The sequence below is a fragment of the Homo sapiens genome, chromosome 8 (genome assembly GCF_000001405.40).
Source record: "Homo sapiens chromosome 8, GRCh38.p14 Primary Assembly".
NCBI classification, from domain to species: domain Eukaryota; kingdom Metazoa; phylum Chordata; class Mammalia; order Primates; family Hominidae; genus Homo; species Homo sapiens.
The window spans coordinates 42,284,346-42,310,444 of NC_000008.11; the positions used below are offsets into that span (position 1 = coordinate 42,284,346).

Below are 26,099 nucleotides of genomic sequence, written 5' to 3' on the forward strand. Positions count from 1 at the left end.
GCCGAGACGGGTGGATCACGAGGTCAGGAGATGGAGACCATCGTGGCTAACATGGTGAAACCCCATCTCTACTAAAAATACAAAAAATTAGCCGGGCGTGGTGATGGGTGCCTGTAGTCCCAGCTACTAGGGAGGCTGAGGCAGGAGAATGGCGTGAACCCGGGAGGCGGAGCTTGCAGTGAGCCGAGGTCGTGCCACTGCACTCCAGCCTGGGCAACAAAGCGAGACTCCGTCTCAAAAAAAAAAAAAAAATACCGAGGTGATACTGCTACAACAGGAATTGGCTTTCATTGAATTATGGAAAACTGTGGAACTTAAGCCATAGCAGATATCGTCAGGCAGAGCTGCTGTGGATGAAGCTACCACAGAACTGGGCAAAAATGTGTCTGAGCACTGTGGGGAAGTGAAACCTGAAAGCAAATTCACGTCAGCCTGAGAACAGACCAGGAATCGGGAGGTACAGGGAGGTGTAACATGGTCTGCACATCAATTAAAGAAACGTTATTCTTTTTTTTTTTTTTTTTTTTTTGAGACAGAGTCTCACTCTGTCACCCAGGCTGGAGTGCAGTGGCACGATCTCGGTTCACTGCAACCTCTGACACCAGGGTTCAAGCGATTCTCCTGCCTCAGTCTCCCGAGTAGCTAGGATTACAGGCACCCACCATTGCACCCAGCTAATTTTTTATTTTTAGTAGAGATGGGGTTTCACCATGTTGGCCAGGCTGGTCTCGAACTCCTGACCTCAGGTGATCCACCTGCCTGGGCCTCCCAAAGTGCTGGGATTACAGGCATGAGCCACCGTGGCTGGCCAGAAATGTTATTCTTTTGACACATTCCCTAATTCTTGAAAAGCTTGAGATGGACTTGTGTCCACCATGGTTTGTACCACTGTACTAATCAGTTTAATAGCAACAAGGTGGCCGGGTGCAGGGGCTTAGGCCTGTAATCCCAGTGCTTAGAGAGGCTGAGGTAGGAGGACCACTTGAGGCCAGGAGTTTGAGACCAGCCTGGGCAACATAGTGAGACTCCGTCTCTACAAAAATAAAATAAAAATAAAAAAAATTAGCTGGACACAATGACACATGCTTGTAATCCCAGCTACTTGAAGCTGAGGTGGGAGGATCGCTTGAGCCCAGGAGTTTTAGGCAGCAGTGAGCTATGATCACTCCACTGCACTGCAGCCTGGGCAACAGAGTGAGACCCTGTCTCTAAAAAGAAAAAATAGCAACAGGTTTTACAATTGTTGAGAGAGGTCAGCTCTTGTTCAGAGAGCGCCTCAGAATCTAGGCCAAAGATCAGGGTTCTACTAGACAAAGAGAATGAGAAGGATACTTAGGGCAGAACCTGGATGCCCATGCCTACTGCCGCAGACTGGACTGAGGGGGTCTCCCATAGTCACAGACGTAAGCCTGTGGCTGCACCATGGGTGAGCCTTGGAAACAGTGCTCAGGGAAAGAAGCCTGTCACAAAAGGCCACATGATATATGATTCCATTTATATGAAATGTCCAGGACAGGCTAATCCGTAGAGACAGAAAGAGGTGGGTGGTTGCCTAGGACTAGAGGGGCTCGGGGAGTAGGGAGTGGCTGCTGATGGGTGTGGAGTTTTGTTGTGGGATGGCAGACATGTTCTAAAGTGTGCCGTGGTTTTGGTCTCACAACTCTTGAGTATGCCAGAAACTATTGAACTGTGTAATTTAATTGGATGAATTGTATGGTGCATGAATTATTCTCAATAGAGCTGTTAAAAAAAAGTAGGCATGCAAGGTCACCATCTGATGGAAAGCTTAGCCAAAGTGGTATTGGGCTTTGATGAAAGCAGCTTCTGAGAGTATTTTAGAAGTGTTGACAGTACCTCCTTTCTGGCATGGAGTCTGCTGTTCCATTTCCACCTTTTTTTCTGAAGCTTTTGGTTCTTGGTGTCGGTGTTAAGGATTGGTTTATTGGTCAGTGACTCAGTGGTCTTATTAGACAGCTTCTGGTGTATGTGGAGGTTTCCATTTTTCCTTTTCTTGCTGTGAAGGTCCTTGTTCCTGCAGGGATCCTGGCCAGTTTGGTAACTGTGAGACTGAGGTGGCTTGAGTGCCATGGGAACAGCCACACTGGGAGGCCTTGCCACAGTCCTCTGTGTGTCTTTTTTTGTTTTTGTTTTTGTTTTTGTTTTGAAACAGGGTCTTACTCTGTTGCCCAGATCTCCTGCAACCTCTGCCTCTTGGGCTTAAGCAATCCTCCCACCTCAGCCTCCTGAGTGGCTAAGACTACAGGTGCATGGCACCACACCTGGCTAATTTATGCATTTTTTTGTAGAGATGGGGTTTTGCCACGTTGCCCAGGCTGATCTGTGTGTCTTTTTAAGTCCCATTCAGTACCATGTCTGTTGCTCACTTACAAGATTTATGATTCTTTTCAGTTTGCATCTTCATAAACTGAGAAAACAGAAATTGGCCTAACAGGGCCTCTAGGACATCCTTCAAGTGAGCCACAGTAGAGTCTGGTACAATGCTGAAATCTTCTCCTACTGCTGGGTGCCCTGTGCCACCCTGCAGGTGTGGCTCTTGCCCAGGTGTGTGTGCGGGTAGGGAGTTTCGTGCTGTAGGTACACAGGAGGTGCAGGATGTTGGTGCAGGTCAGCTTGTTTAGCAGTGGCAGGATCGGCTCTCAGGCTGGGGCTCCGGGAGCTGCTGCCTTGGGCAGCTGCTGCCCCGCAGTTGTCTTGGAGACCCCCCCATAGCCAAAAGAGGTGACAGTGGTGCAGTGGTGACTCCCTTGTGGCAGCTGGAGTGCCCGAGGCCAGAGCCGCTTTCCCTGCTGCCCGTGCCACAGCCTCAGGGCCTGCCCGTCTCCAGTGTCCCCACTCATGCACCAGGGAGAAGAGGGGAGGCCGCCAGGAGCCAGTGGCTCAGCTCATGATTCACCAGGTGGAGGAGCCACCGCTGAGGATGCTGCTGGTTACCTCGATAGAGGTTAAAGCCCATGAAGATGGACAAGTCTATAATTTAACAAAGAGAAGAGAAAACAGCCTGTTACTCTGCAGAAAGTAACTCTTTGGCATGTGCACTGAAGGAATTACCTGTTACAGGAGTATAGCAGAGGGTGAGACCCTCTTGAGCTCGGCAGACCGTGGTGCCCATGCACCTGTGCTGGCAAGTGTAGCAGAGCAGGGCCAAGCGCCAGGGTGGGTGGGGCCGTCTGGCTGTAGTGTCGTGGGAAGAGTGGCTGGAAATGCAGATAGGAGCCAATCTCTGTAGGATGTTAAACAGGAGTACTCGGATGACCTGGGTTCCCTGCTCTGCAGGGTTACTAATACCTGCTAGAGGCTTGTTTTCAAGCCCTGAAAGATGGGTGTCAGTATTCCCATTTTACAGAAGAAACTGAGTCAGACCAAGTGGTTTACCCAAGGTCACACAGCTAGTAAATGGCACAGTTGGAATTTGAACCAGCCAGTGTTTCATCTGCTATATTATGCCATATTATGCTTGCGTTCTCTCTGAAAGGACAAAACTCTCACATGAAACAATGAAGACACTCAATGTGGTGTTCACTATTAGGTTGAACCACATGCAGGTGCCATTTTTGTAGGTCAATGTGGTCAATTATCAGCAGTGTCCCATGGGTCAGCCTAATACAGCAGCAGCCGGGGTTCGGACAGGGAAACCTCTCTGCGCAGGAATGGTCAGTAGAGGTTTCATGGCGGAGCTGGGAATGGAGCAGGGCCTTGAAGGCTCTGTAGACTCTGGATGGATAGAAATGAGGTGGGAGAGGCTGGGTGCGGTGGCTCACGTCTGTAATCCCAGCACATTGAGAGTGCGAGGCGGGCAGATCACTTGAGGTCAGGAATTCAAGACTAGCCTCACCAACATGGTGAAACCCCGTCTCTACTAAAAATACAAAAATTTGCCAGGTGTGGTTGCGCATGCCTGTAATCCCAGCTACTCAGGAGGCTGAGGCACAAGAATCACTTGAACACGGGAGGTGGAGTTTGCAGTGAGCTGAGATTGTGCCAGTGCACTTCAGCTTGGGCGACAGAGCAAGACTCCATCTCAAACAAAAAAAAAAAAAGAGAGAGAAAGAAATGAGGCTGGAGAGGTTGGGTGAGAGGTGGAGTGGTAAGGAGACAGCCCAAAGGGCAGGTGCTACGTGGCTGTCGATCAGGGTGTACATGTGACCTTGGAGCACCAGGAGGTGATTGCAGGTAACGCTTGGGGCCTGGAGACCCCTCCCATGCAGCAGACAGGGTGGGATTTGGCCTGCAGCTCGCTCTGCTGGTCCCCACTGTGCTGTTTCTGTAGGAAACAGGTGAGCAGATTGCCATCAAGCAGTGCCGGCAGGAGCTCAGCCCCCGGAACCGAGAGCGGTGGTGCCTGGAGATCCAGATCATGAGAAGGTGAGGGCCTCGCGCATAGGGACCCAAGGGAAAGCTGGAGCAGCAGCCCCCGGTGTGTCTAGAAAGGAGAGTCTTGCTGGGTGCGTGGCTCACGCCTGTAATCCTAGCACTTTGGAAGGCCAAGGCGGGCAGATCACGAGGTCAGGAGACTGAGACCATCCTGGCTAACATGGTGAAACCCCGTCTCTACTAAAAATACAAAAAATTAGCCGGGCATGGGTGGGCGCCTGTAGTCCCAGCTACAGAGAACACCAGGGAAGGGGGAAGGGCATGCTGCACACTCTGCTGGGATTACTCCAATGACAAGGAAACCCCGTCTCTACTAAAAATACAAAAAATTAGCCGGGCATGGTGGCGGGCGCTGTAGTCTCAGCCGCTCGGGTGGCTGAGGCAGGAGAATGGCGTGAACCCAGGAGGCGGAGCTTGCAGTGAGCCGAGATCAAGCCACTGCACTCCAGCCTGGGCAACAGAGCGAGACTCCGTCTAAAAAAAAGAGAAGAGAGTCTTAAATATCTGCCCCTCCATCAGGGCGCCAGCCTGGCAGTCTCCACGGTGACTCTGCTGCTTCTAAAGACACCAGAGGAAGAGCAGCTAAAGTCCACACTGGGCCTTGTCAAGGGCTGTTCATCAATTTCATTGTATTAAATAAGTTAACACAGTTATCACAGTGACTTTTCTTTTGTCAGCAAAAAAAGCCTTCTTTCCTCCTATATTTCCAGTTCCAAGGTGGTATGTGACCGTTCTCTGCTGTCATGCTGTCGCTGACATTTATTCCTCTAGTGTGGAGACGGGGCTGTCCATCTGCCTGGTGGCTGCTGACCCCCTAGCTAGTGAGGCGTGAGGTGGGCTCCGAAAGAGCCAGTGAGGAGGACACCAAGCAGGGGCTCCTCTGCCAGCCTCTTAAAAAGAGGAGGTGCTATTTGGTTATGTCATGGTTCCATTTGGTTACATGAGTTCCTTCTCAGACCCTTCTCTGTGTGTCCACCTTGGGGTGATGTGTGTGCGTGAACCAACCTGCCGAAAATTAAACAGACAAAAGAAAAAAAATATGAAAACAAAAAGAGCAGGCACCACCTTGTTTGCCTGCTTGCGTGTGTGACACATCCTCCCCATGTGGAGGGCATGAGATTGAAAGGTCCTTGTAGGAGCAGTTTGGCAGCACGATGAGGACTTGGGATGTGGCACGCACAAAAAACTGAAGTTACACGCAGTTGTGCCCTCAGGGTCTGAGTTCTGGTGCTGTGAGTGGGGCTGGGTGAGCGCCACTGACCCAGGCATTGCGGTTGGCCACCCGTCCTGGGCTCTGTCTTCCTCTGTTTCAAAGCCCTGGGTTATCCTGGGCCTTTGTTGCTGAGACCTGGTGGGGGTGGTGGGGATGGGTCTGGGCAGGAGCCTGGGTCTGCTCTCATCGGTTTTCCTCCTCCTAGGCTGACCCACCCCAATGTGGTGGCTGCCCGAGATGTCCCTGAGGGGATGCAGAACTTGGCGCCCAATGACCTGCCCCTGCTGGCCATGGAGTACTGCCAAGGAGGAGATCTCCGGAAGGTGAGGCTCCCACGGCTGCCAGGTGCACAGCCTGTCTGGGCAGGTGGGACACCAGGAAGAGGGATGGGGAGACCTTTCACTTCTGTCATCATCAGGAAGCTTGGGGAGCCCCAGTGACTCCAGCAGGGCTGCTTTGCCTCTCAGATCCTCTGTTCCCTGCCCACCTGGGGCTGGTGTGTGTGTGAGTCAGAGGCGCTTCCGAGAACACCAGGGAAGGGGTAAGGGCGTGCTGCACACTCTGCTGGGATTACTCCAATGACAAGGAAAACTCATCACAGGTCTGGGCGTGGGGAAGGACTGGGCAAGTTCCAAAACAAATGCTTCCTCCCTGGGCATGTTAGGGCCACGTTAGGCCTTTGGTGCCAGTGCCACTGCTCTCCTTATTAGGAGGGATTTTATTCTAGAGATGGGACAGCACCACACACGGGGGCAGGGAGCATAGCAGAGAGGGAGCAGGATTCATGATCAGAGAGCCGGGCCAGGGCTGCAGACCCGCCCCAATCCATCCGATCCACCTGACCCACCTGGACTCATCTGTGGGGCTCTATTCTCCACCTTCTCACCACACCACCTCCTCTTCCCTAGAATGTTCACTTCTGGTGGGTGGATGGCAGCCCCTCCTGGTCTCAGGGGCAGTTGGGTGCCCTCCTCCCCATTGTTCCCTATGACAGTACCACACAGCCTGCTAGTACATGTTACCTCATTCGATTTCCAAAAGCTCACACATGGGTGCACAGGTATGGTTCCCACATGATGGGTGGATGTCATGGCCCAGAGAGGTTGGGCCTCACACAGCTGTAGCAGCAGAGCCTGGGTCCCAGCCCACACAGACCCAGCTGCAGGCCACCTCTCCATCTCTGAGGCTGAATAAGGCCATATAACATTATGAAAACTGGAAGCTCTGAACAAAATAATTTTTTTTTTTGAGACAAGAGTCTCGCTGTATTGCCCAGGCTGGAGTGCAGTGGCGTGATCTCGGCTCACTGTAACCTCCATCTCCTGGGTCCACGTGATTCTCCTGCCTCACCCTCCCGAGTAGCTGGGATTATAGGCGCCCGCCCCCACGCCTGGCTAATTTTTGTATTTTTAGTAGAGGCAGGGTTTCGCCACATCAGCCAGGCTGGTCTCCAACTCCTGACTTCAAATGATCACCCACCTCAGGCTCCCAAAGTGCTGGGATTACAGGTGTGAGCCACTGCGCCCAGCCAACAACAATTTTTATTTTAATTGAAAAAGAGGTCGGTTGCTCTGCGAGTGCACCTCTTCACTCCAGAAGGGTCACAATAGTGGGGGCGGGAGCCCAGGCGTTTATTCCTGTTCAGTGGCCATTCCCAGACACACTTCAGGTGCTGTTCTCACTGTTCCTCCAGGCCCTTGTGCCTCTTAAAAAAAAATTTTTTTTTCCACTTTGGAAAGCTGAGACAGGAGAATAGCTTGAGGCCAGGAGTTTGAGACCAGCCTGGGCAACATACCAAGGCCCTGTCTCCTCAAAAAATAAAAAATGAAAAATTAGCCAGATGTGGTGGTGTGCGCTTGTGGTCCCTACTACTTTGGAGGCTGGGGTGGGAGGATGGCTTAAGCCTGGGAGGTTGAGGCTACGGTGAGCTATGATTGTGCCACTGCATGCCAGCCTGGGTGACAGAGCAAGACTCAGTCTCAAGAAAAAAGATAATCCTGTCTCAGAACAAAGAGACAGATAAATAAAATAAAAGAAACTTTCCATGGGGCTTGGCGTGCTGGAGTGGCTCTCCCTGGAGATAGGCATGTCCTGGGAGTGGCACTCACAGCAGGATATGAACACAGCCCTTGGCATCACCCACAATGAGAGATGGGGGAACTCAACAGCACTTCGATTTTCTCCTTATTTTTCTAACCTTTGACAGTCACCCATTACTAACTGCAGCTGTGTAGAGATAAAGCCATGTTGTAGTCAAGTGGAGACTTCTCAGAGGGCAGTCTGGAAGTAGGTGGGATGTGGCCAGATTACAGAGGGCTCTGAAGTGAGGCAGAGGCTTTTAGACTTGGTCTTTTAGGTGGCAAAGAGCCAACGAGCCAGGGAAGAAGAGATCGAAAGTTTAACATGACTGGCCTGGCGTGGGTTGCAGGATGATTGAGGGGGAGGCAGGAAGGGCTCGCATCCTAAGGGACCCCTGTCCTTGCTGTCACCCAGCGGGGTTGGGGGAGGACACTGTTGCCCAGTGTCTTGTTATGTGTTGTTTCCTTTGTTCCCTCTAAAAAGTTCAAATCTATAATACACCCGTGGGCATGGAGAGGCAGGCTTGGCCAGCACATGGGGACATGTAAGAGTCGATGTTAAAAGTCTACATGCTGGGTACGTAAACAGATGAGTGTTTATGAATATGACGTGAATTCCAATGGTGAGGCTCAGATGGGAAGCTCCTCTCTCCGCCCTCCTCGGAGGCCAGCTCCCAGCAGCACACAGAGCCTCTTGACAGTCGAGGGGGCCAGGAAGGCAGGGGATTAAGGGCTTGGGCTTGAGTTTCAGATTGACCTGGCGCCGCATTCCAGCACTGCCCTCTCACAGCTGTGTGAGCTGACAGGTATCCGACCGTGTAACCTCAGTTTCCTCCTCCAACACGGGGATTCCACCCGTACTTACTCAGTGGTGGTGGTTAGTATTAAATGAGGTCACGCAGGGAAGGCTTTGCTGAGCTAATCTGTGCAGAGCTCTTCCGGCCCCTGGCACGTAGTAAGTGCTCAGTAACTGTTCTCTACTGTTACCATCACCCACATGGCTAGGAGATGGCAGGGCGGTGGTCGGAGGGTGGTATCCAGTCATGCCCTCCCAGCCTGGCCCGTCTCTAGGACTCTCATGCACAGAGAATTCCTATTTCCTGTGCTTAGACTTCAGCCTGCCTTGCTCAGAACTGCAGCAGCTGGTGAGAATCAAACTTTACTCACCTCAGAGGCCCCTTGCTGTGAGGATGTGAGAGCCCTGGGGTGGTCAGGACTGCTTCCTCTTTCTCCTCCTCCTCCTCCTCCGGCCAATCCCTGCTAGTTCTGCAGCCCTGGCTTCCTCAAAAGCAGGTCCCCTAAAGACCAGGGCCCAGGGTCAGCACTCTGGTCACATGGGCTGGTAAGAGACATGTGTGGATTTCCGGTGGTTTGTGACCACCAGCTCTGATGCTGCTTTTCACTTTCTTGACAGTACCTGAACCAGTTTGAGAACTGCTGTGGTCTGCGGGAAGGTGCCATCCTCACCTTGCTGAGTGACATTGGTAAATCCCAGTCCCGGAATTCAGGCCGTGTCCTTCAGGGAGAGTGTGGTGCCCCTGTGAGTCCCTGCGGAGCCCTGCAGGCAGACACTTCAATCCTTTGGTCTCTGTGGAAGGGGAATGGGAGCCCAGGGACGGGGGACCCTGGTGGAGTAGGGAGGTCAACAAGGAGTCAGCCAGACAGATGCTGAACTCAAATAGGTTTCCCTTCCTTCCTGATTAACTCATCAGGTGAATTATGATGTATAGGGAATAACAGATTTCCTTTCCCATTATAAAGCTCCCCTCCCTCCTTTCCTGGAATGGCCGGCGCTGGAATAAGTTGTCATTCGAATGAGTTTTGTCCCTTGGCAGTGAATTTTTCCGCTCCCACGTAGGCAGTTCTTTGCCAATGAGAGGCGTAGGAAAAACTGTCCTTTTTAATCCCTTGGGTACTGTTGGCTTCCCCAAATGAGGGCATCTGCGGCACCCTCTGAGAAGGCCAAGCTGGCCATTCATGGAGAAGAGTGACCTCAGCCTGCAGAGGTCAGTGGAGCCTCCTAGACCCTGGCGCTCACTCAGGAGGGGTCTGAGGGCTGGGCGCTAAAGGTCAGCACCTGGCCCCAGCCTGGGGAGACAGGGAGAGGGACTTGCTCAGAGCTTTTTGTTTTTTTTAAAAAATAATCTCCAGGGTTGTTGGTGCAAGTTGATAGTTGGGGTCTAAGGTTTAGAGTTATCAGAATTTATCTTTGACTCTTTGCCTCCAGATTTGGAGAATGATGCCATTTTCATCCCTCCACTACCTCAACCTTTCAAAGCTGTATACATTTTTTCTTTTTGTTTGCTCAAGTTTTTTTGGAAAATTGTCAAATATATAGAAAAGTTAAAAGAGTAGTACAGCAAAACTCACATACCGTTCCCCTCGGTTCACCAGATGTTAACATTCTCCCTCATTTGTAAAGCTGTCTTCTCTAAGCCAGGGCCTGGAAGGGTTGATGGTCCAACACTGTCTTGCTAGTGTGGGTCTGGTCTCTTCCTGACTGCTGCTTTTGACAGAGGAGAAGCAAGAAGGAAAGGAAGGGGAAAAGTCAAGCAATGACATATTTAAGGTTAAGATCCAAATAGTCTGACACAGAAAATTCCCATCTTGCTCTGTGCTGTGTCTTCGTCCCTTTGGGTGGAGTTCACATGGAGGATACGTTGACATTACATCAGTTTTATTTGACTCGAATGAGCACCCAGTGCTGGCCCAAGGGATCCCCTGCACATGGCCCGCATGAGTCTCTTCTCTGTCTACCTAGAGCATAATCCATCAGTTAGAAATTCCACTTGTTTTCTTGACACCCTGACCCAAGGCTCACCCATCCATGTTTTGCTTGGAGGCTTACTTGATTGTATTTTTTACCTCAGTGGCCAGATTCTTCATTTGTTCTCTGTTGAATTGGGTTGAAGGCAGGTTAGCAGGTTGGGGAGTATTCTCTTGCTTTTCTTGGGTGATTTTTATTTTGTTTCTCTTTGGTTAAAGCTTTGTCAAGTTATTATTTTTTTTTTGGATGTTTTTCTCTCAGATATTTTTCTTTCACTCCTTAGGCTGTTGATGACTTTAGCAAGTAGTTATTACGAAAGTCTTTTTTTTTTTTTTTTTTTTGAGATGATGGCTTACTCTGTTGCCCAGGCTGGTGTTGCAGTAGGCGACCTCAGCTCACTGCAACCTCTGCCTCCTGGGTCCAAGCGATTCTCCTCCATGAGCCTCCTGAGTAGCTGGGATTACAGGAGCACACCACCACACCTGGCTAATTGTTGTATTTTTAGTAGAGACAGGGTTTCATCATGTTGGCCAGGATGGTCTCGAACTCTTGACCTCAAGTGATCTGCCCATCTCAGCTTCCCAAAGTGCCGAGATTACAGGCATGAGCCACAGCACCTGGCCAAAAGTCTTTAAATTATTGGCACAAGTGCCGGGCGCAGTGGCTCACGCCTGCAATCCCAGCACTTTGGGGGGCTGATGCGGGTGGATCACAAGGTCAGGAGTTCAAGACCAGCCTGACCGAGATGCTGAAACCCCATCTCTACCAAAAACACAAAAATTAGCTGGGCATGGTGACGGGCGCCTGTAATCCCAGCTACTCGGGAGGCTGAGGCAGAAAACTGCTTGAACCCAGGAGGCGGAGAGGTTGCAGTAAGCCGAGATTGCACCATTGCACTCCCGCCTGGTGACAGAGTGAGACTCCATCTTGAAAAAAAAAAAAATTATTGGCACAAGTGCACATAACTCTCAGCTTCCTCATATGGTTGTTTATTCTGCAGGTGTTTTGCTGCTGATATTCACAGAACCTCTCTGGTTACGTATTCTTTTGGTCTGGGTCCACTTTGAATTCAGTTACTATTGACTTGTGTGGTAGCTTTTATATTATTTTATTCAAATTGTGTGCATGTATGTATTTAAGTTACACATAAATTAGAATAATGAAAACAGGTGCTTCTTCTTAAGTGCTTGTGTGCTATAGGTCTCCTATAGATAGATAGGTAGGTGAATATTAAATTCTGTAGGTTGCTGATTCTCTGTCTGTCTTCTCTGTGACCCTGAGTTGGAAATAATTTGACTTTGAAGTACTAACTAGTACACTACAGTTAAACTTCTTGAGGGCACAAACTTCAGTCACTGCTTATCTTCAGCATCTAGAATAGCAGTATATAATCTTCTCTATAAATATTTGTCAAATGAGAGCTGGATGCGGTGGCTCACGCCTGTAATCCCAGCACTTTGGGAGGCGGAAGCGGACGGATCACCTGAGGTCAGGAGTTTGAGACTAGCCTGACTAACATGGAGAAACCCCATCTGTACTAAAAATACTAAATTAGGCCAGACGCGGTGGCTCACGCCTATAATCCCAGCACTTTGGGAGGCCGAGGTGGGCAGATCACGAGGTCCGGAGTTCGAGGCCAGCCTGGCCAACATGGTGAAACCCCGTCTCTACTAAACGTACAAAAAACCCAAAAAACTAAAAACTAAATTAGCCAGGTGTGGGGCATGCCTGTAATCCCAGCTACTCGGGGGGCTGAGGCAGGAGAATCACTTGAACCCAGGAGGCAGAGGTTGCAGTGAGCCAAGATCGCACCATTGCACTCCAGCCTGGGCAACAAGAGTGAAACTCCATCTCAAAAAAAAAAAAAAATTGTCAAATGAATCAAATAAATCCTAAAGGAAATTAAAATAAGTAAGGACCTAGTTTTTTTTTAAAATCAAATGTCCACACATCATGAACAGCTCCAGGTCCAATACTGGCTCCTTTGCTTATTAGCAGTGTGACCGTGGGCACGTTACTTACACCCTTTTATTAGCGGTAAAATGGGAGCGTTACTCACCTTGTTAGAATTATGGAATAAAATGAGGTGATATAAATAAAGCTCCTAGCACAATGCTCTGTTCCTGCAGAATGTGCAGTCAGCAAGTGTTAGTTCCTTGCTCATTTCCTTCCCGCTCTGGATTTTGATTTTTGGCCTCTCCTTTTGGAAACCTTCAGTGCCTTCTTTAGGGCATGACCTGAGGCTGGATCCAGGGAACCACACGGGTGGGTGCCTTCTGAGACTCCCATCCTGGAAGAGGCCAGCCTTCCTCAGACCTGTTCACATCTCCGCCACCTTTTGGGTGCAGTGCAGCCCCGGTTTTGTTTTTGAGGCTGCTGATGAGCTCGTATTTTACTTTTATCCCTGTTTCTGATTTGTATTCTAAATCCATTAAATTTCTTTTTGCAAGGATCTGGTGACTGAGCCGGAGTTCATCTAACATAGCTCTTTTGTATTTTGGAACATTTCCTGAGCATATTTTGTTCCAGTTTGTTCCAAGTGCTGGCCTCACATTTCCTTTGTTGGAGTTGCCACTGCTGTTCTCTGCCAGGTTGACTTCAGATAAGTGGCAGAGCCACACCCTTGACCGCTGGGTCCGGATTCATTGCCTTTTCTTCTGGATTAAACTGTTGGCCCCTACTCTCTTCTGTGCCGCTAACCTCCCAGAGACACCCGCTCAGAACAGTGTCAAGATAACAGACATGGATAGGATTTTTCCACTGAATTTCAAATTGCCCAAGAAGAGGCTGCAGAGTGCCTGTGAGAAATGAGCAGATGGCCAGGCGCGGTGGCTCATGCCTAGAATCTCAGCACTGTGGGAGGCTGAGGCAGATGGATCACCTGAGGTCAAAAGTTTGAGACCAGCCTGGCCAACATGGTGAAACCCCATCTCTACTAAAAATACAAAAATTATCTGGGCGTGGTGGCGTGTGCCTGTAGTCCCAGCTACTCAGGAGACTGAGGCAGGAGAATCACTTGAACCCGGGAGGCAGAGGTTGCAGTGAGCCGAGATCGCGCCATTGCACTCCAGCCTGGCAACAAGAGCGAGACTCTGTCTCAAAAAAAAAAGAAAAAAGAATGAGCAGCTGCCTGGCGGGCACAGAGGTGAGCCCCCTGCATCCTGGCCAGGACTCTTCTGCCAGACCATCACTCCATGCTGATAGGAGACCTGGGACCCATGTGGAGCAGCTGGAAATGATATGGACTGCCACGTAATGTGACCCTAAAATAGCTCAAGGAAGTTATATGTGAGTGGACTCTATTTAAACAGTCTTGCTCATTATCCTTTGGAAAACATTGGCATGTGTTTTCTTTTGTCAAGGGAGGCTCAAAATTCTGGGCACTCAAGATTGCAGGGCAGGCTGTGGTGCTCTCTCCTGCCTGATGGGGTGTGGCTCTGCTGGGCGGGCCTGGGTCTTATCAGATCTTAGATTGGAATCAGCCTTTCCTGGATTCTGCAGGTGGCCAGTCTGCTGTGGTGACACCATCCTGTGCTCCAGGCCTTTCGGGAACCCACCCCTCTGTTGCTGTCCCTGCTTCCTTCTCGAGCTGCTCCTAGCAGGCATCCAGGACTTCAGCGTTAAAGAACAGAGGGTTTCAGAGAAAACATTTGGCTTTGGGGAAGAGAGCTCCATTCCAGGAACTGCACATCAGGTGCACTGTCTAGCATTGTGGATCTTCTGACTGGTTCCATTGCATGCATCCATCTGACTGAAGTGTGGATTATAGCAAAAGATCATTTGCACATAAAGCTTTTTGGAAAGCATAAGTAACCAGGTTAATAAATACAGTAACAATGAGAGAGAAGACAGCAGGCCCTCAGTCATGGCTCCACCATTTTATAGCTCTAGAGCCTTGGGCGAGGCATGGAATGTCATGGCCGCAGCGTCCCCTTCTTTAGGATGAGGGGTTTGGACCTCCGAGTGCTCTCTAGGGCCCCGTCTCCCTCTAACAACTCCATTTCACTGTCCAGAAATCTGGTTTTCAGGATGGTGGCCCCGGGACATCTCTGACATCCGCCAGCTGGTGGCCTAACTGCTTCCCACAGGCTCTGTGTCTCATCTCCACTGCCTGCCCCTGCATTCGCCTGTCCGTCCTTCCCTCCCTGCCCCTGCGCTGGCTGCCCGCTGCTCCTCGACGTTCTGTTTCCCTGGCCGTTCTTGTGGCCTGTTTCTCACCATATTGTTCCCAGAATCTGGAATTCAACCCTGAACTCATCCTAAAGTCATATCCATGTCTGCCAGGTCTTTCTTCCAAAGTCAATTCCAGTAGAAGCTCTGGTTGTCTTCTTCAGCCAGGTCCCTCCTGCCATCCCCTTTCTTGTGTCATGGTGCCACTTTCTGCCCGCTGCCCAGGACCAAGTGTCCGTGTCGAACCTGGTCTCACAGAGTCAGCCCCCGCTCCTGCTCATAGCCTTGCATTACGGAGGCTGCAGACCGCTGCTTCTGCTGATTCAATGTCAGAGCAAATCCCTGCAGCGACCTCCTCCCTGGCCTCCTTAACCCTGTGTGCTAACCTACCCTTCTGTCTTGGAAGGGCACTTCCATCACAGTCCACTCTTAGATAAAGGCCCAGCCCCTTCGCCGTACCTTTCTCCCACTCAGCCCTGGGCATGACCCACAGGACCCACCCGCCAACCTCTGTGTGTGACCCTTGGAACCCACCCGCCAGCCTCCAGGCGTGACCCTCAGAACCCACCCGCCAATCTCTGTGTATGACCCACAGAACCCACCTGCCAGCCTCTGTGTGTGACCCGCAGAACCCACCTGCCAGCTTCTGGGCATGATCCTCGGAACCCACCTGCCAACCTCTGCACGTGACCCACAGAACCTACCCGCCAGCCTCCGTGCGTGATTCCAAACCCACCTGTCCCTTGCTGGCCTTGCACGCGTTGCCCCTTGTGGAAGCTGTTCTTGCACCTCCCAGAGACCCTGAGCCTGCCCGTCCTTTGGGCACAGCTGCAGACCTGCCCCTCTGTGGGGATTGCCTGGCCTGGGGTCACGGGGATTTTCCTGTGGGTCTTTCTGCTGATGTCACCTCATTTGCTCCTTTGACGCTTGGCATTGCCATTACTGCTCTGTGATTTCTGTCTGTGCCTTGGCAGTGAGGGCTGACTTCCGGGTTTGGGGCCAGTTGACCAGACTGTGCAGGAAGTTAGGAAAAGGCTTTGATTCAGTGGCATGTTTCCCATTGTGTGCAGATAGTGGACACTCAATAGAGCCTCGCTGAGTGAATTAGTGAAGTTGTCGCACTTTCGCCTTGGCACCCAACGTTACTGCCTTGCTGCCTCACTGATTAATTGAAGGCTATTTTAGCCAAGTAACCTTTAGCCAGACTCAGTCTCTCTCCCCATGTCCACAGCTGGCCTTCAAGTCTGTTTTTTTTGGGAAGCCCAGTGACATTGAAGTGGCTGGCACAGTAGGACCCAGGCAGTAGGTTTTACTGAGGGAACGGACATCCTGTTGCCTTTCTCACTCAGTGATGACTTGGATTACCAGCCAGTTGACAACCAACCATCTTTGTACCCTTCTAACCTCTATCTCAGCCTTTTGGACCATTTCTCTTTCCACCTGTTCTCTATGGAATGTAGCTCAAACAAAAATGTTCTGAAGGGAACTTAGTCATCCCTCTAAACTTGTGATAGATAGAGATTCATGGACCCACCCTTATAAAACTGCTTTCTTCTCGGAAGTCTTGCTGCTCTTATCTGTTCCCCAGTTTGTGGTTTGTCATCTGAAAAAAATACATAGGGCTGTGGGGCTGTGATTCGGAGCTGTGATTCATCAATAAGACCCACAGGATTGTCAGCGTTCTTCAGTTATGTGTTTGTGCCTTCCTCATGAGCCAGGGAAAGGCTGGGGTTACCACCGGGGCACGGCTTCTGAGGAGGGTGAGAGAAGGAGGCTGTTATCTTCCTATGGCAAGTCTGCCATGTGGACCCATTCTGTGGAAATGTACTGTGTCATTTATCTTAGTTTTTGTGTTTTTCCTGCATACACTGCACTGTGTCGTTTATTTTAGTTTTTGCATTTTTCTAGAGGCAGGGTCTTGCTCTGTTGTCCGGGCTAGAGTGCAGTGGCACGATCATGTTTCACCGCAGCCTTGAATTCCTGGGCTCAAGTGATCCTCTCACCTCAGTCTCCCACGTAGCTGGGATGAAGGCATGCGCCACCATGCCTGGCTAATTAAAATTTTTTTTTTTGTAGAGACAGGGTCTTGCTATATTGCCCAGGCTGGTCTCAAACTCTTGGCCTCAAGGGATCCTCCTCCCTCGGCCTCCGAAAGTGCTGGGATTACAGGTGTGAGCCACCATGCCTGGCCTCACTGTGTAGTTGTGAATAGCTTAATAGTTTGCAATGTGGTGCTTCTCACAGCTCTTCTCTGTAATGGGAACATGAAAAATTACCTGGTACAGTTTTATGCTTTGTGGTGTGGCTTTTAATTTTTATAAACATGTCTTACTGCTATTGCCAGGGATTTAGATTTTTAATAAACTTCCAGATTCAACAGTATTTTTCTTCATCTCAATGTCTCATTTTTCATCAAATTTAAACAAAGTTAGATTCTCTGGGCTTGAAACAATTTTGATTCATTTCACTTTAGCTCTGAAGTACTGTTTTGTAAAATGTAGCACAGTGATACTGAACCAAGCTTTTTGAAAGCTTATTCTCTGCAGGGTACATTTAAGAGGACTTGCCTATCAGAATTTTTACATTTCAGTCCCAGAAACTATGTGTAACAATACCTGTTGGATTCTTTAAATCTGGACTTTATTAAGTTGACAGAGGTATTGAAGAATAGATGACCACCCCGAAATGAGGAATAAAGTTTGTTTTGTACAGTTGTTTAAGCATAAAAATAGACAGATATTAATAGTAGTCAGAGTATTCAGTTACCAACCTCTTGTCCCTCCTCACTGAAGATCTGGTGACAACTCTAATCCACGTGGCGTAGAGAGCGGTGCCTTTGGTCTAATCCGAATGCTCCTCCTCTTCACTGGGGGGTTCTGGGGACATCTCACCTGGTTGTGCCCTGGGTTTTGCCCTGAGATGTTAGCCTCCAGCTCTGGGGGCCTTGTCTCAGTCTGGGCATGTGTACTTGCTCAAATTACAGTATCTCAACTTCCATATATTCTGCTTTGGAAAAAACTAACCTACACTTTTATGTATTACATCCTGATACTCTCCAGCAGTCTGTCATATACCAAAACAGGTCTTTTGTGAACCTATCAGTTAACAGACACTTTGAGTTATTGCATGGCCTTGCTCTCTGCCAGCCAGTAGTTCATATTCAACAGCAGTGCCATCCCTGTCTGCAAGGCTGTGTTAGTGCAGCTATTTTTTATACTTCATTTAATTTATTATGCTTTTTCATTTGCTTTGATTTTTAATAAAAGTAAAACAAAAATAAAAGTGCTGATGAGAAGCATTGGTCTTGAAACATTAACACAATTGAGAACAAGATGAAATATAATTTTTTAGGCACATGGAAAGCAGCGAGTCTTTCACCTCATCTGGACATTAATTGGACCTAAGCTGATCTACTCTGTCACTTAGGAAGGAAATGAAAAGTAAGGAACAGTATGATATGTTGGAACCACATGGTCGAAGGCTGGACTTAAAAGAGCAGATGCAAGGAGAGATCTGGCACCACAGATAGAGCATCCCTAATCCCAAAGTCCAAAATCTAAAGGGCTGTAAAATCTGAAGGTTTTTGTACACTGACATGATGCCAGAAGTGGAAAATTCCACACTTAAGTACTTAACACATTGTTCCATGCACAAAATTATTAAGACTATTGTATAAAATTACCATCAGACTATAAAATCATTTATAAAAATTCAGTTGTTTCATATAAGGTATATATGAAACAAATGAATTTTGTGTTTAAGCTTGGGTTCATTAGGAATATGCCAGTATTCCAAAATCCAAAAAAAAAAAAACTGATCCCAAGCATTTTGGATAAGAGATACTCATCATGTATAGCTTAATGTTCTGAGCTGGAACTCCTTTAATAAGGTGGAAGTCAGTTGTTCAGCTCTCAGTTTGACTCTTAAATATGTTTTCAGCAAATGTTCAGCTTAGAGTCTTTGCAGAGAATGTTTGCTTACTCAGTTTCTGTGGAAGGCTTTTCCGTTACCCTGCACAGAGGGCCGTACCCATGACAGCAGATAGGATCGCTGCCTGGGCCTCAGGGGTCTTCCCCTCCCCGGCTTGCCGAGAGGGAGAGAGAGAGAGAGAGAGAGAGAGAGAGAATGAGAGAGAGAGAGAGAGAGAGAGAGAATGAGAGAGAGAGAGAGAGGAGAGAGAATGAGAGAGAGAATGAGAGAGAAACAGAGAGAATGAGAATGGTGGTGGCGGCGACGGCATACAGAGGGTTCATTGTTAAACCTCTGAATGTTACTGCTTTTGACTTTTTAAGTTTTAAACAAGAAACAGGTCATACCATTAACTATCCCTCTGAGTCAGAAAATATAGACCCAAGAGTTGCCTGTTCTAATGTGGCACTACCATAATTTGTTCTAACATTTCCTAATGACTGTCTGTTTCTAATTATTTCATTCAAGATATGCAGTAAGTATCCTTGGGCTACCAGTGAAGTGATACCATTTGTATCTCTTCTTCTGTGCTTTCTCACCACTTGACATTCTTTGCCCATTTTTCTTTTTCTTTTTCTTTTTTTTTTTAGGTAGAGTCTTACTCTGTCACCCAGGTTGGAGTGCAGTGGCCATGATCTCGGCTCACTGCAACCTCTGCCTCCTGGGTTCAAGCAATTCTCCTGCCTCAGCCTCCCGAGTAGCTGGGATTACAGGGGCATGCCACCACACCCAGCTAATTTTTTTGTATTTTTAGTAGATACAGGGTCTCACCATGTTGGCCAAGCTGGTCTTGAACTCCTGACCTCAGGTGATTCGCCCACGTTGGCCTCCCAAAGTGTTGGGATTACAGGCGTGAGCCACCGCGCCCAGCCCCATTTTTCTTCTGCATTGCTTTCTTATTGATTTATAAGAGCTTTTTATCTATTAGGTATCTTTACTCTTTGGTGTATGTGTTGTAGATATTGTTTCCCCACCTCTCTTATCTTTTGGCTTTGTTTATAGTATCTTTTGCCATAAACTTTGAAAACCTTTTAATGTTATTTGCACTGTTCTATTTATACCATGTGACTTTCCTGCATACACTGCTCTTTTTGCTACATGTATCCCATGGTGTTTTGGAGTTTTTGTTGCTAATGTGAATGGGATTTTTTTTCCTTTCCACTGCAACTGGATATAGCTAACATAGAGAAAAGCTATTGACTTGTGTATTCTTGTTCGTTTCCAGACAACTGGCTAAATTTTATCCAGTGTTTAGTCTGTTGAGCTCTCTAGGCTACATCTCCAAATCTATCTCCATCTCTAGTCATAGCATCTCCAAATAAAAATAATTTTATCTCATTTCAGTACTATTTATTTCATTTCTTTCTTTTATAGTGCAGTGAACTAGATGTCTGTCAAAGTTATTCACCCTCTCTTGAGGGTAAAATCATGTCCTTCTTGCCATCTGAGCTGCAGGCGGGTGCCTCCTCATGTGACATCATCACGTTGCCTCCTCACAGCAGAAGCTCTTGGTATCAAATGCTTCCGTAGCCAGTGTTGTGCAGTCTGCTTTCTTCCAACTAGATTCTGAGCTCTTTAAAGTTGGGGATCATGCCCCTTATTTTATGTCCCTCACAGAACCTCCCAGAGAACTGGGCATGTAGTAAGTCTGTGTAGGGCTGTCTGTATGTGTGGGAGGTGTCCCTGTTCTCCTCTTCTGCCTCCCCGCTGCTTCCTGGAAGCCAGTTCTGACCTCTTGGGACTGTCGATCATATGACCATAGGACTCTGTCCCCAAGGGCCCTTCCTCCTTGCCCACCCTATAGAATTTAGATTTTTGAGCCTCTAGACCAAAGAAACTTCCCTTCTCAAAACTTTATTGGCGTCAGCATCACCTGGAGAGTTTGTTAACACAGATCGTGGGGTCATCCCCAGAGACTTGAATCCAGAGGTCTCAGGTGGAGCCCGAGAATTTCACATTTTGAACAAGCTTGTTTGCTGCTGGTCCAGGTAGTATAGTTTGAGAAGCACTGCTCTAGGCTGCAGTTGGTGACCTCATGGATGCAAGGCAAAGAGTGCTTTGCGCAAGTAAGCCAGATTCCTGTGGAAGTTTAAGCCTCACGTAGCAGGGCCCCTGCCCTCCACCCTGAGGTATTGCGCTACAAGTCAGAGTATGTTTCAGGGGCATGCGGCATTTATCTTTTGCAGGATAGGAGATTCTGTCATGAAAAGCATTTTTTAGGCCTAAGAAAAACTCACCCCCCTCTTCCTCAGCCTCTGCGCTTAGATACCTTCATGAAAACAGAATCATCCATCGGGATCTAAAGCCAGAAAACATCGTCCTGCAGCAAGGAGAACAGAGGGTAAGTGACCTCCTGGGACTGGGAAAGCCTCAGGTGGGCGTGCCGGGAAGTGGCCTGGGAGGAAAGGAGCACACTCTGCATATTTGTGTGTATTTGCATTTCCTTGCCTGTGCTTTGATTCTCTGGGAATGCTGTTTGATTTGAAACAAAATTGAGCAAAAAAGTTGTTGCAGATTGAGGCAAGTTTAAATGGATTACATTGTTAGTTGCTCAAGTTGCAGGAATCTGATAAGGAAAATAATGTTTGCCTTCCTACCTCCACCCCTAGCCTCTGGGACTAGCGCTTCTTGGAAGTCGACTTTTTGTTTTCCATTTGCTTTAAGAGCCTCGCCTCTCGACTCTAAATGGAAACCAGTGGTCAGTTGGTTGTGGATGTGGCTGGGAAGAGGCACTGGGAGCTGGCCTCTGCTGCCAAGCCTGGTCCAGCCTATAGTTTCCCCAGAGCTCTTTGTGGCCTCCTCAGTGGCCACCCGGCTCAGACGTGGTGTTGACTGCCCCACAAGCTTGACATTGTGGTCTTTACCCACCCACTCTATGTGTTCAGCTGGGGTGGTGAGCACAGGCTCAGCTGAGTGGAATACAGTGAATGAGTTCTTAGATCACCTAATCCCTTCCCATACAGCTGCCCTTAGCACCTAGGCCTGGCCTGTGACTACCACAGGGCTCGCCCTTGTTCCAGTTCACCCTCACTCCTGTCAGTGGTGCTCAGATTTGAGAACTGAGGGCATTTACTGAGAAGAGGCTGGCCCGGTCCTTCCTGTTTCAAGTCTGGGTTTAGCTGTCTTGAGGGCTGGTGCCTGTTCTGTTCATTCAGCTTCCCTCTGATGATGCGTGGCAGAGTGTGGGAGGACACGTGCCTAGCATTTTTACAATATGCCTTTTCTTTTAGCCCTGAATCTACCGTGTCGAGGGCATTCTTTTGTGTATCTGGTGGCTCTTAGGAGTTTGGGATCTAATAGTACCTGGGAATTCAGAAATACCTCTGCTCTAACACCAGGCAGTCAGAATCCTCGTAGAAGGACATTGTGTTCTTATAACCCTCAGCTTTCTCCTTCCTTTTGTTTTAGTTAATACACAAAATTATTGACCTAGGATATGCCAAGGAGCTGGATCAGGGCAGTCTTTGCACATCATTCGTGGGGACCCTGCAGTACCTGGTAAGAAGTGGGCCTTGCCTGTTTGCCTGTCAGCTCCTCCCTGCTGCTGCATTTGTGGGGCTCCTGTCCTGCCTTGCTCCCAGCACCTGAGTCCCACCGGCTCTCTGAATGTTTTGGAGATGCATGAGGTCACACCCATAACCTGGTCGAGTCAGCATTTTTTGCCACCAGATGCCCTGTGGAGGGATGTGGTCGTCTTCTCTGATGTCCGGAGGGCTCTGCTCATGCGCCTTGCACCATCCCCTAGCCTCTCTGTGCTTCAGTGTCTTCTCTGAAAGGAAAGGGTTTTAAACAGATCCATGCTGGTCTTGAGCGGTCCTCCCACCTCAGCCTCCTGAGCAGCTAGGACTACAGGCAGGAGCCACTGAGCCTGGCCGAGGCCACACTTTCCATGAGGTATTTCAGGGGCCACTGAGTAGGGGTCAGAGCTCTGAGCTCCCCACCCTTTGTTTACGTTATTTGGTCTGAATATTAGGTTTCTGTTTGAGTCACTCATTCATTCAAGCATATTGATGGAGTGTAGTCTGTGTCAGGCACTGTGCTCAGGGCTGGTGATGCAGTGGGGAAAAAAGACAAGCCCTTTTCGGCCTTCAGAGCTTAGGGTTTAGCAGGAAAGCAAGCATTACTGTGATGCTTACACAGATAACTAAGAAATTACAGTTGTGGTGAGTGTTACAAAGCAAGAGTGCAGGGTGTTGCAAGAATATATATTGGGTGGCCTCAGCCTGGTCTGGGACTTGAAGGGTAAGGAGGTGAAAAGGGCTGGAGGTGGGGGACGGCAGGGGGAATTCCGTGCAAAGGGATCACACACAGGAAGACCTGCAGGTGTGGCTGGAACCGAGCACAAAAGGGAAAGAGAGTCTTGAGTTGAAGCTGAGAACAAGGTAGAGCACAGATTATGAAGGGCCTTCAGGGCTGGGCTAAAGTTCTAGACTTTATCTTAAAACCTCTGCAGAGATTGATGGGTTTTAAGTGGGAGAAGGAGCAACTCTTTGGAAAGCCCACTCCTGACACTGTGTGGAGAAGGAATCACACTGAACAGGAGGGAAGAGTGGGTGAGGTAGGGGCAGTGAAGATGTAGAGGGCAATTAGATTCCAGGAGGGCTTAGCACAAATGCCCAGCAAGACTTGTCATAGGTTGCTTGATGATGGCAGTAGCCACCACAATTGGGAGTGACTCAAGGAGTCTGCGGCTTTCAGAGTGGGTCTCACAGAGGGCTGTGATTCAGGCGCCTGTGTCCATATGGCATGTGATTTGGTAGATCCTTCTGGAGTCCTCCTCAGCTCAGCAGCAGTCGAGCAAGGGGGACCCCATGCTCTAACCAGGAGCTGAGTCAAGTCATGTACTCACATGAGCTAAAACGTCTGCCCATAACCAGACATAGAGGTTGACCTACCCATCCCGGAATGTCTTCTCTTGGTTTGGTCTCCCGGGCCCTTCCTTAAGCTTCACATTTCCAACCAGACCATGCACCACCCTGTCTCTGTGCTTTTGCTTGCCCCAGTCATTTCTGTCTCCACCCACCTGCTAAGCCCAGTCTGCACCCCCAGCACCCCGTGCTGCCGCCCCTTCTTCGGTCACCCCAGCGCTCTCTGCCTCAGCAGCAGCCATGCATCACACTTTCCCTGCCTGTTTCTAAATATCCTGGCCCTTTCTGCAACCACATGGTACCTGGTTCAGGGGTTCAACCAGCACTTAATGCGTGTATTTGGTGTGGACAGCCTGGCATCATTTTCCTTTAACATTTGTAGCCTCTCTTCCCATTTCTACACAGTGCCCACGACTGTGTCCTGCCTTAAGCTAGTTTTCAATAAGCGCCTGAAATGCTGCAACCCTTTTTTTTTTTTTCCTTTTTTTTCTTTCTTTCTTTCTTTTTTTTTTTTAGACAGAGTCTCACTCTGTTGCCCAGGCTGGAGTGCAGTGGCATGATCTTGGCTCACTGCAACCTCCACTTCCCAGGTTCAAGCGATTCTTGTGCCTCAGCCTCCTGAATAGCTGGGACTAAAGGTGCACACCACCATGCCCAGCTAATTTTTGTATTTTTAGTAGAGACGGGGTTTCACCATGTTGGCCAGGCTGGTCTCAAACTCCTGACCTCAAGTAATGCGCCTACCTCGGCCTCCCAAAGTGCTGGGATTACACGTGTGAGCCACTGCGTCCAGCCTGCAACCCTCAGTTTTAAAGGAGAGAAGTTAAAGCCTAGCGATGGGTGTGTGATGTACTCTGGCCCTGAATCTTTAGCCCCTCCATCAGTACCTACTGGAGTGAGTGGGACATAGAAAGGTCTTAGAAATGGTAGCATGATATACCCGCTAAACATGCCTGGGGTGCCCTCCTCGCCCTGCATGCATGTGCCAGTGCCCTCTAGGATGAAGCCAGGGGTGAAAGCAGATGGGCTGGCCGCCCCCTCCTGCCGTGGTCCCCCCAGAGAGGAGCAGCTCAGGTGTACCCCCTCCTGTTGCTGCAGGCCCCAGAGCTACTGGAGCAGCAGAAGTACACAGTGACCGTCGACTACTGGAGCTTCGGCACCCTGGCCTTTGAGTGCATCACGGGCTTCCGGCCCTTCCTCCCCAACTGGCAGCCCGTGCAGTGGTGAGTGGGCCCGGGGCACCTGGATGGAGGAGGGAGCCTGTCTGTTCCTTTCTCTTCACGTACCCTGTTTCCCTGGCGCCCCATCACCGGGCCTGGGAGATCTGTGTTGTTTCTCTTCCGAGAGGAAGGCCTGTCAGGACCTAGCACGAGTAGGGGAGTGGTCTGTGCTCCAAGGACCTGTTAATAGATAGAGTAGCTGTTAAGTCTTCATGTGGATTCTGAGCCTTCACATCTTTAAATACAATGCTGTGTCAGTGTCATCTGCTCTGTGTTCAGAAGTAAGACTATTGTATGAATATACGCACTTACACTGAGAATGCTGTGTGTTAGTAAACAAATAAAACACGTGTACACATGACAAGTCAGGAGGAAATATGTGAAAATTTGTTGTTGACAAATGTTACTACAACCTGAATATAAATTTTTGTTTTTAAAGCGTAAGAATGTGGCCGGGTACAGTGGCTCACTCCTGTAATCCCAGCACTTTGGGAGGCCGAGGCAGGTGGATCAGTTGAGGCCAGCAGTTCCAGACCAGCCTGGCCAACATGGCAAAACCCTGTCTCTACTAAAAACCCTAGCCAGGTGTGGTGGCGGGCGCCTGTAATCCCAGCTACTCGGAAGGCTGAGGTGGGAGAATTGCTTAAACCCAGGAGGCAGAGGTCGCATCACTGCAATCCAGCCTGGGCGACAGAGTGAGACTCTGTCTCAAAACAAAAAAAGTTTAAAAAAAAAAAAAACAACAGCTGAGCATAAAGCATAAGAATGTAGCTGAAATTGTGAACCTAATAAATTACACAAAAATTTTTCCAGTAAAAATTAAAGGATATGATGAAGATTTGTAGAATTACCCTGTATTCTTTAGCTTTTGTTTTACTGATTAAAGAAATAATGCATTGTGCAGGATATGTTTATATAAAAGTTAATTATCACCACCAAAAATGGTATGTGAGGTAATGTATATGGTAATTAGCTCAATGTAGCCATCCCACAATGTGTACATCATGTTGTACAGGATAAATATAGACCATTTTTATTTGTCAGTTTAAATCAAGAACTGGGGGCAGAAAAGAAATAAAAGTTAATTATTACTGAAAGCCATAATTTAAAAATGAATATTCCCCCAAATCAGTTAGATTTCATTTAGGATTGTTCCTTGAGAGGCCACACACTAGTTTAAATGATGCTACTCTGCTCAAAATTTACTTACTTCAAGTTTTATTTTTTTTGGAACCGTAATAAGTTCATGTGGCTCAAATTTCCAGAAGAATAAGGGAGTATGCAGTGAAGTCATACCAGCCTCCCAGGCCCTCATTTACCTCCCCACAGGCACCTGCTGTCTTCCAAGAATGTTTTCATATCTTCCAAGGTGTTCGTATCTTCCAGGGGTGTTTGCTACGTGTTCCAGTAAATTGGCATATA

At 48.8% G+C, this 26,099-nt stretch overlaps 1 protein-coding gene and 1 long non-coding RNA gene across 17 annotated transcripts in view, besides 9 other annotated features; both read left to right on the forward strand.

Annotated features, from left to right (window-relative positions):
* Nucleotides 1-26,099, forward strand: part of IKBKB (inhibitor of nuclear factor kappa B kinase subunit beta) — a 61,159-nt gene that overhangs the window by 13,044 nt on the left and 22,016 nt on the right. For 9 of the 16 annotated variants that reach the window (NR_033819.2, NR_040009.2, NM_001556.3 and 6 more), the window contains 6 exons: nt 4,289-4,383; nt 5,811-5,928; nt 9,098-9,167; nt 20,842-20,930; nt 21,998-22,087; nt 24,556-24,680. Coding sequence is in view for 13 of the 16 variants with exons in the window: in NM_001556.3 (NP_001547.1) it covers nt 4,289-4,383; nt 5,811-5,928; nt 9,098-9,167; nt 20,842-20,930; nt 21,998-22,087; nt 24,556-24,680 (587 nt within the window). In the remaining 3 variants the exon portion in view is untranslated. Of the gene's footprint in view, nt 1-4,288; nt 4,384-5,810; nt 5,929-9,097; nt 9,224-20,841; nt 20,931-21,997; nt 22,088-24,555; nt 24,681-26,099 lie in introns of those variants that run through there. The other 7 variants (NM_001242778.2, XM_047421759.1, XM_047421762.1 and 4 more) reach the window with 5 other exon arrangements.
* Nucleotides 8,144-8,283: an enhancer, noted in NCBI's record as "active region_27305". NCBI's record gives its function as "activates an Ori minimal core promoter by ATAC-STARR-seq in GM12878 lymphoblastoid cells {active_cell/tissue: GM12878}" and the evidence as "EXISTENCE:reporter gene assay evidence [ECO:0000049][PMID:35858748]".
* Nucleotides 8,303-9,502: an enhancer, noted in NCBI's record as "CDK7 strongly-dependent group 2 enhancer chr8:42150166-42151365 (GRCh37/hg19 assembly coordinates)". NCBI's record gives its function as "activates an origin of replication core promoter dependent on BRD2, BRD4, P300/CBP, MED14 and CDK7 cofactors, with strong dependence on CDK7, by STARR-seq in HCT116 cells {active_cell/tissue: HCT116}" and the evidence as "EXISTENCE:reporter gene assay evidence [ECO:0000049][PMID:35650434]".
* Nucleotides 8,564-8,613: an enhancer, noted in NCBI's record as "active region_27306". NCBI's record gives its function as "activates an Ori minimal core promoter by ATAC-STARR-seq in GM12878 lymphoblastoid cells {active_cell/tissue: GM12878}" and the evidence as "EXISTENCE:reporter gene assay evidence [ECO:0000049][PMID:35858748]".
* Nucleotides 8,634-8,693: an enhancer, noted in NCBI's record as "active region_27307". NCBI's record gives its function as "activates an Ori minimal core promoter by ATAC-STARR-seq in GM12878 lymphoblastoid cells {active_cell/tissue: GM12878}" and the evidence as "EXISTENCE:reporter gene assay evidence [ECO:0000049][PMID:35858748]".
* Nucleotides 9,154-9,363: an enhancer, noted in NCBI's record as "active region_27308". NCBI's record gives its function as "activates an Ori minimal core promoter by ATAC-STARR-seq in GM12878 lymphoblastoid cells {active_cell/tissue: GM12878}" and the evidence as "EXISTENCE:reporter gene assay evidence [ECO:0000049][PMID:35858748]".
* On the forward strand, nt 11,328-17,002 carry LOC105379395 (uncharacterized). Its single transcript, XR_949714.3, has 2 exons — nt 11,328-13,738; nt 13,952-17,002. It is a non-coding gene; the product is annotated as an uncharacterized LOC105379395 (long non-coding RNA).
* Nucleotides 21,536-22,208: an enhancer, noted in NCBI's record as "H3K27ac-H3K4me1 hESC enhancer chr8:42163399-42164071 (GRCh37/hg19 assembly coordinates)". NCBI's record gives its function as "activates a minimal SCP1, AML or CMV promoter by ChIP-STARR-seq in primed H9 embryonic stem cells {active_cell/tissue: H9 hESC(primed)}" and the evidence as "EXISTENCE:reporter gene assay evidence [ECO:0000049][PMID:30033119]".
* Nucleotides 21,546-21,615: an enhancer, noted in NCBI's record as "active region_27309". NCBI's record gives its function as "activates an Ori minimal core promoter by ATAC-STARR-seq in GM12878 lymphoblastoid cells {active_cell/tissue: GM12878}" and the evidence as "EXISTENCE:reporter gene assay evidence [ECO:0000049][PMID:35858748]".
* Nucleotides 22,209-22,880: an enhancer, noted in NCBI's record as "H3K27ac-H3K4me1 hESC enhancer chr8:42164072-42164743 (GRCh37/hg19 assembly coordinates)". NCBI's record gives its function as "activates a minimal SCP1, AML or CMV promoter by ChIP-STARR-seq in primed H9 embryonic stem cells {active_cell/tissue: H9 hESC(primed)}" and the evidence as "EXISTENCE:reporter gene assay evidence [ECO:0000049][PMID:30033119]".
* Nucleotides 22,607-22,656: an enhancer, noted in NCBI's record as "active region_27310". NCBI's record gives its function as "activates an Ori minimal core promoter by ATAC-STARR-seq in GM12878 lymphoblastoid cells {active_cell/tissue: GM12878}" and the evidence as "EXISTENCE:reporter gene assay evidence [ECO:0000049][PMID:35858748]".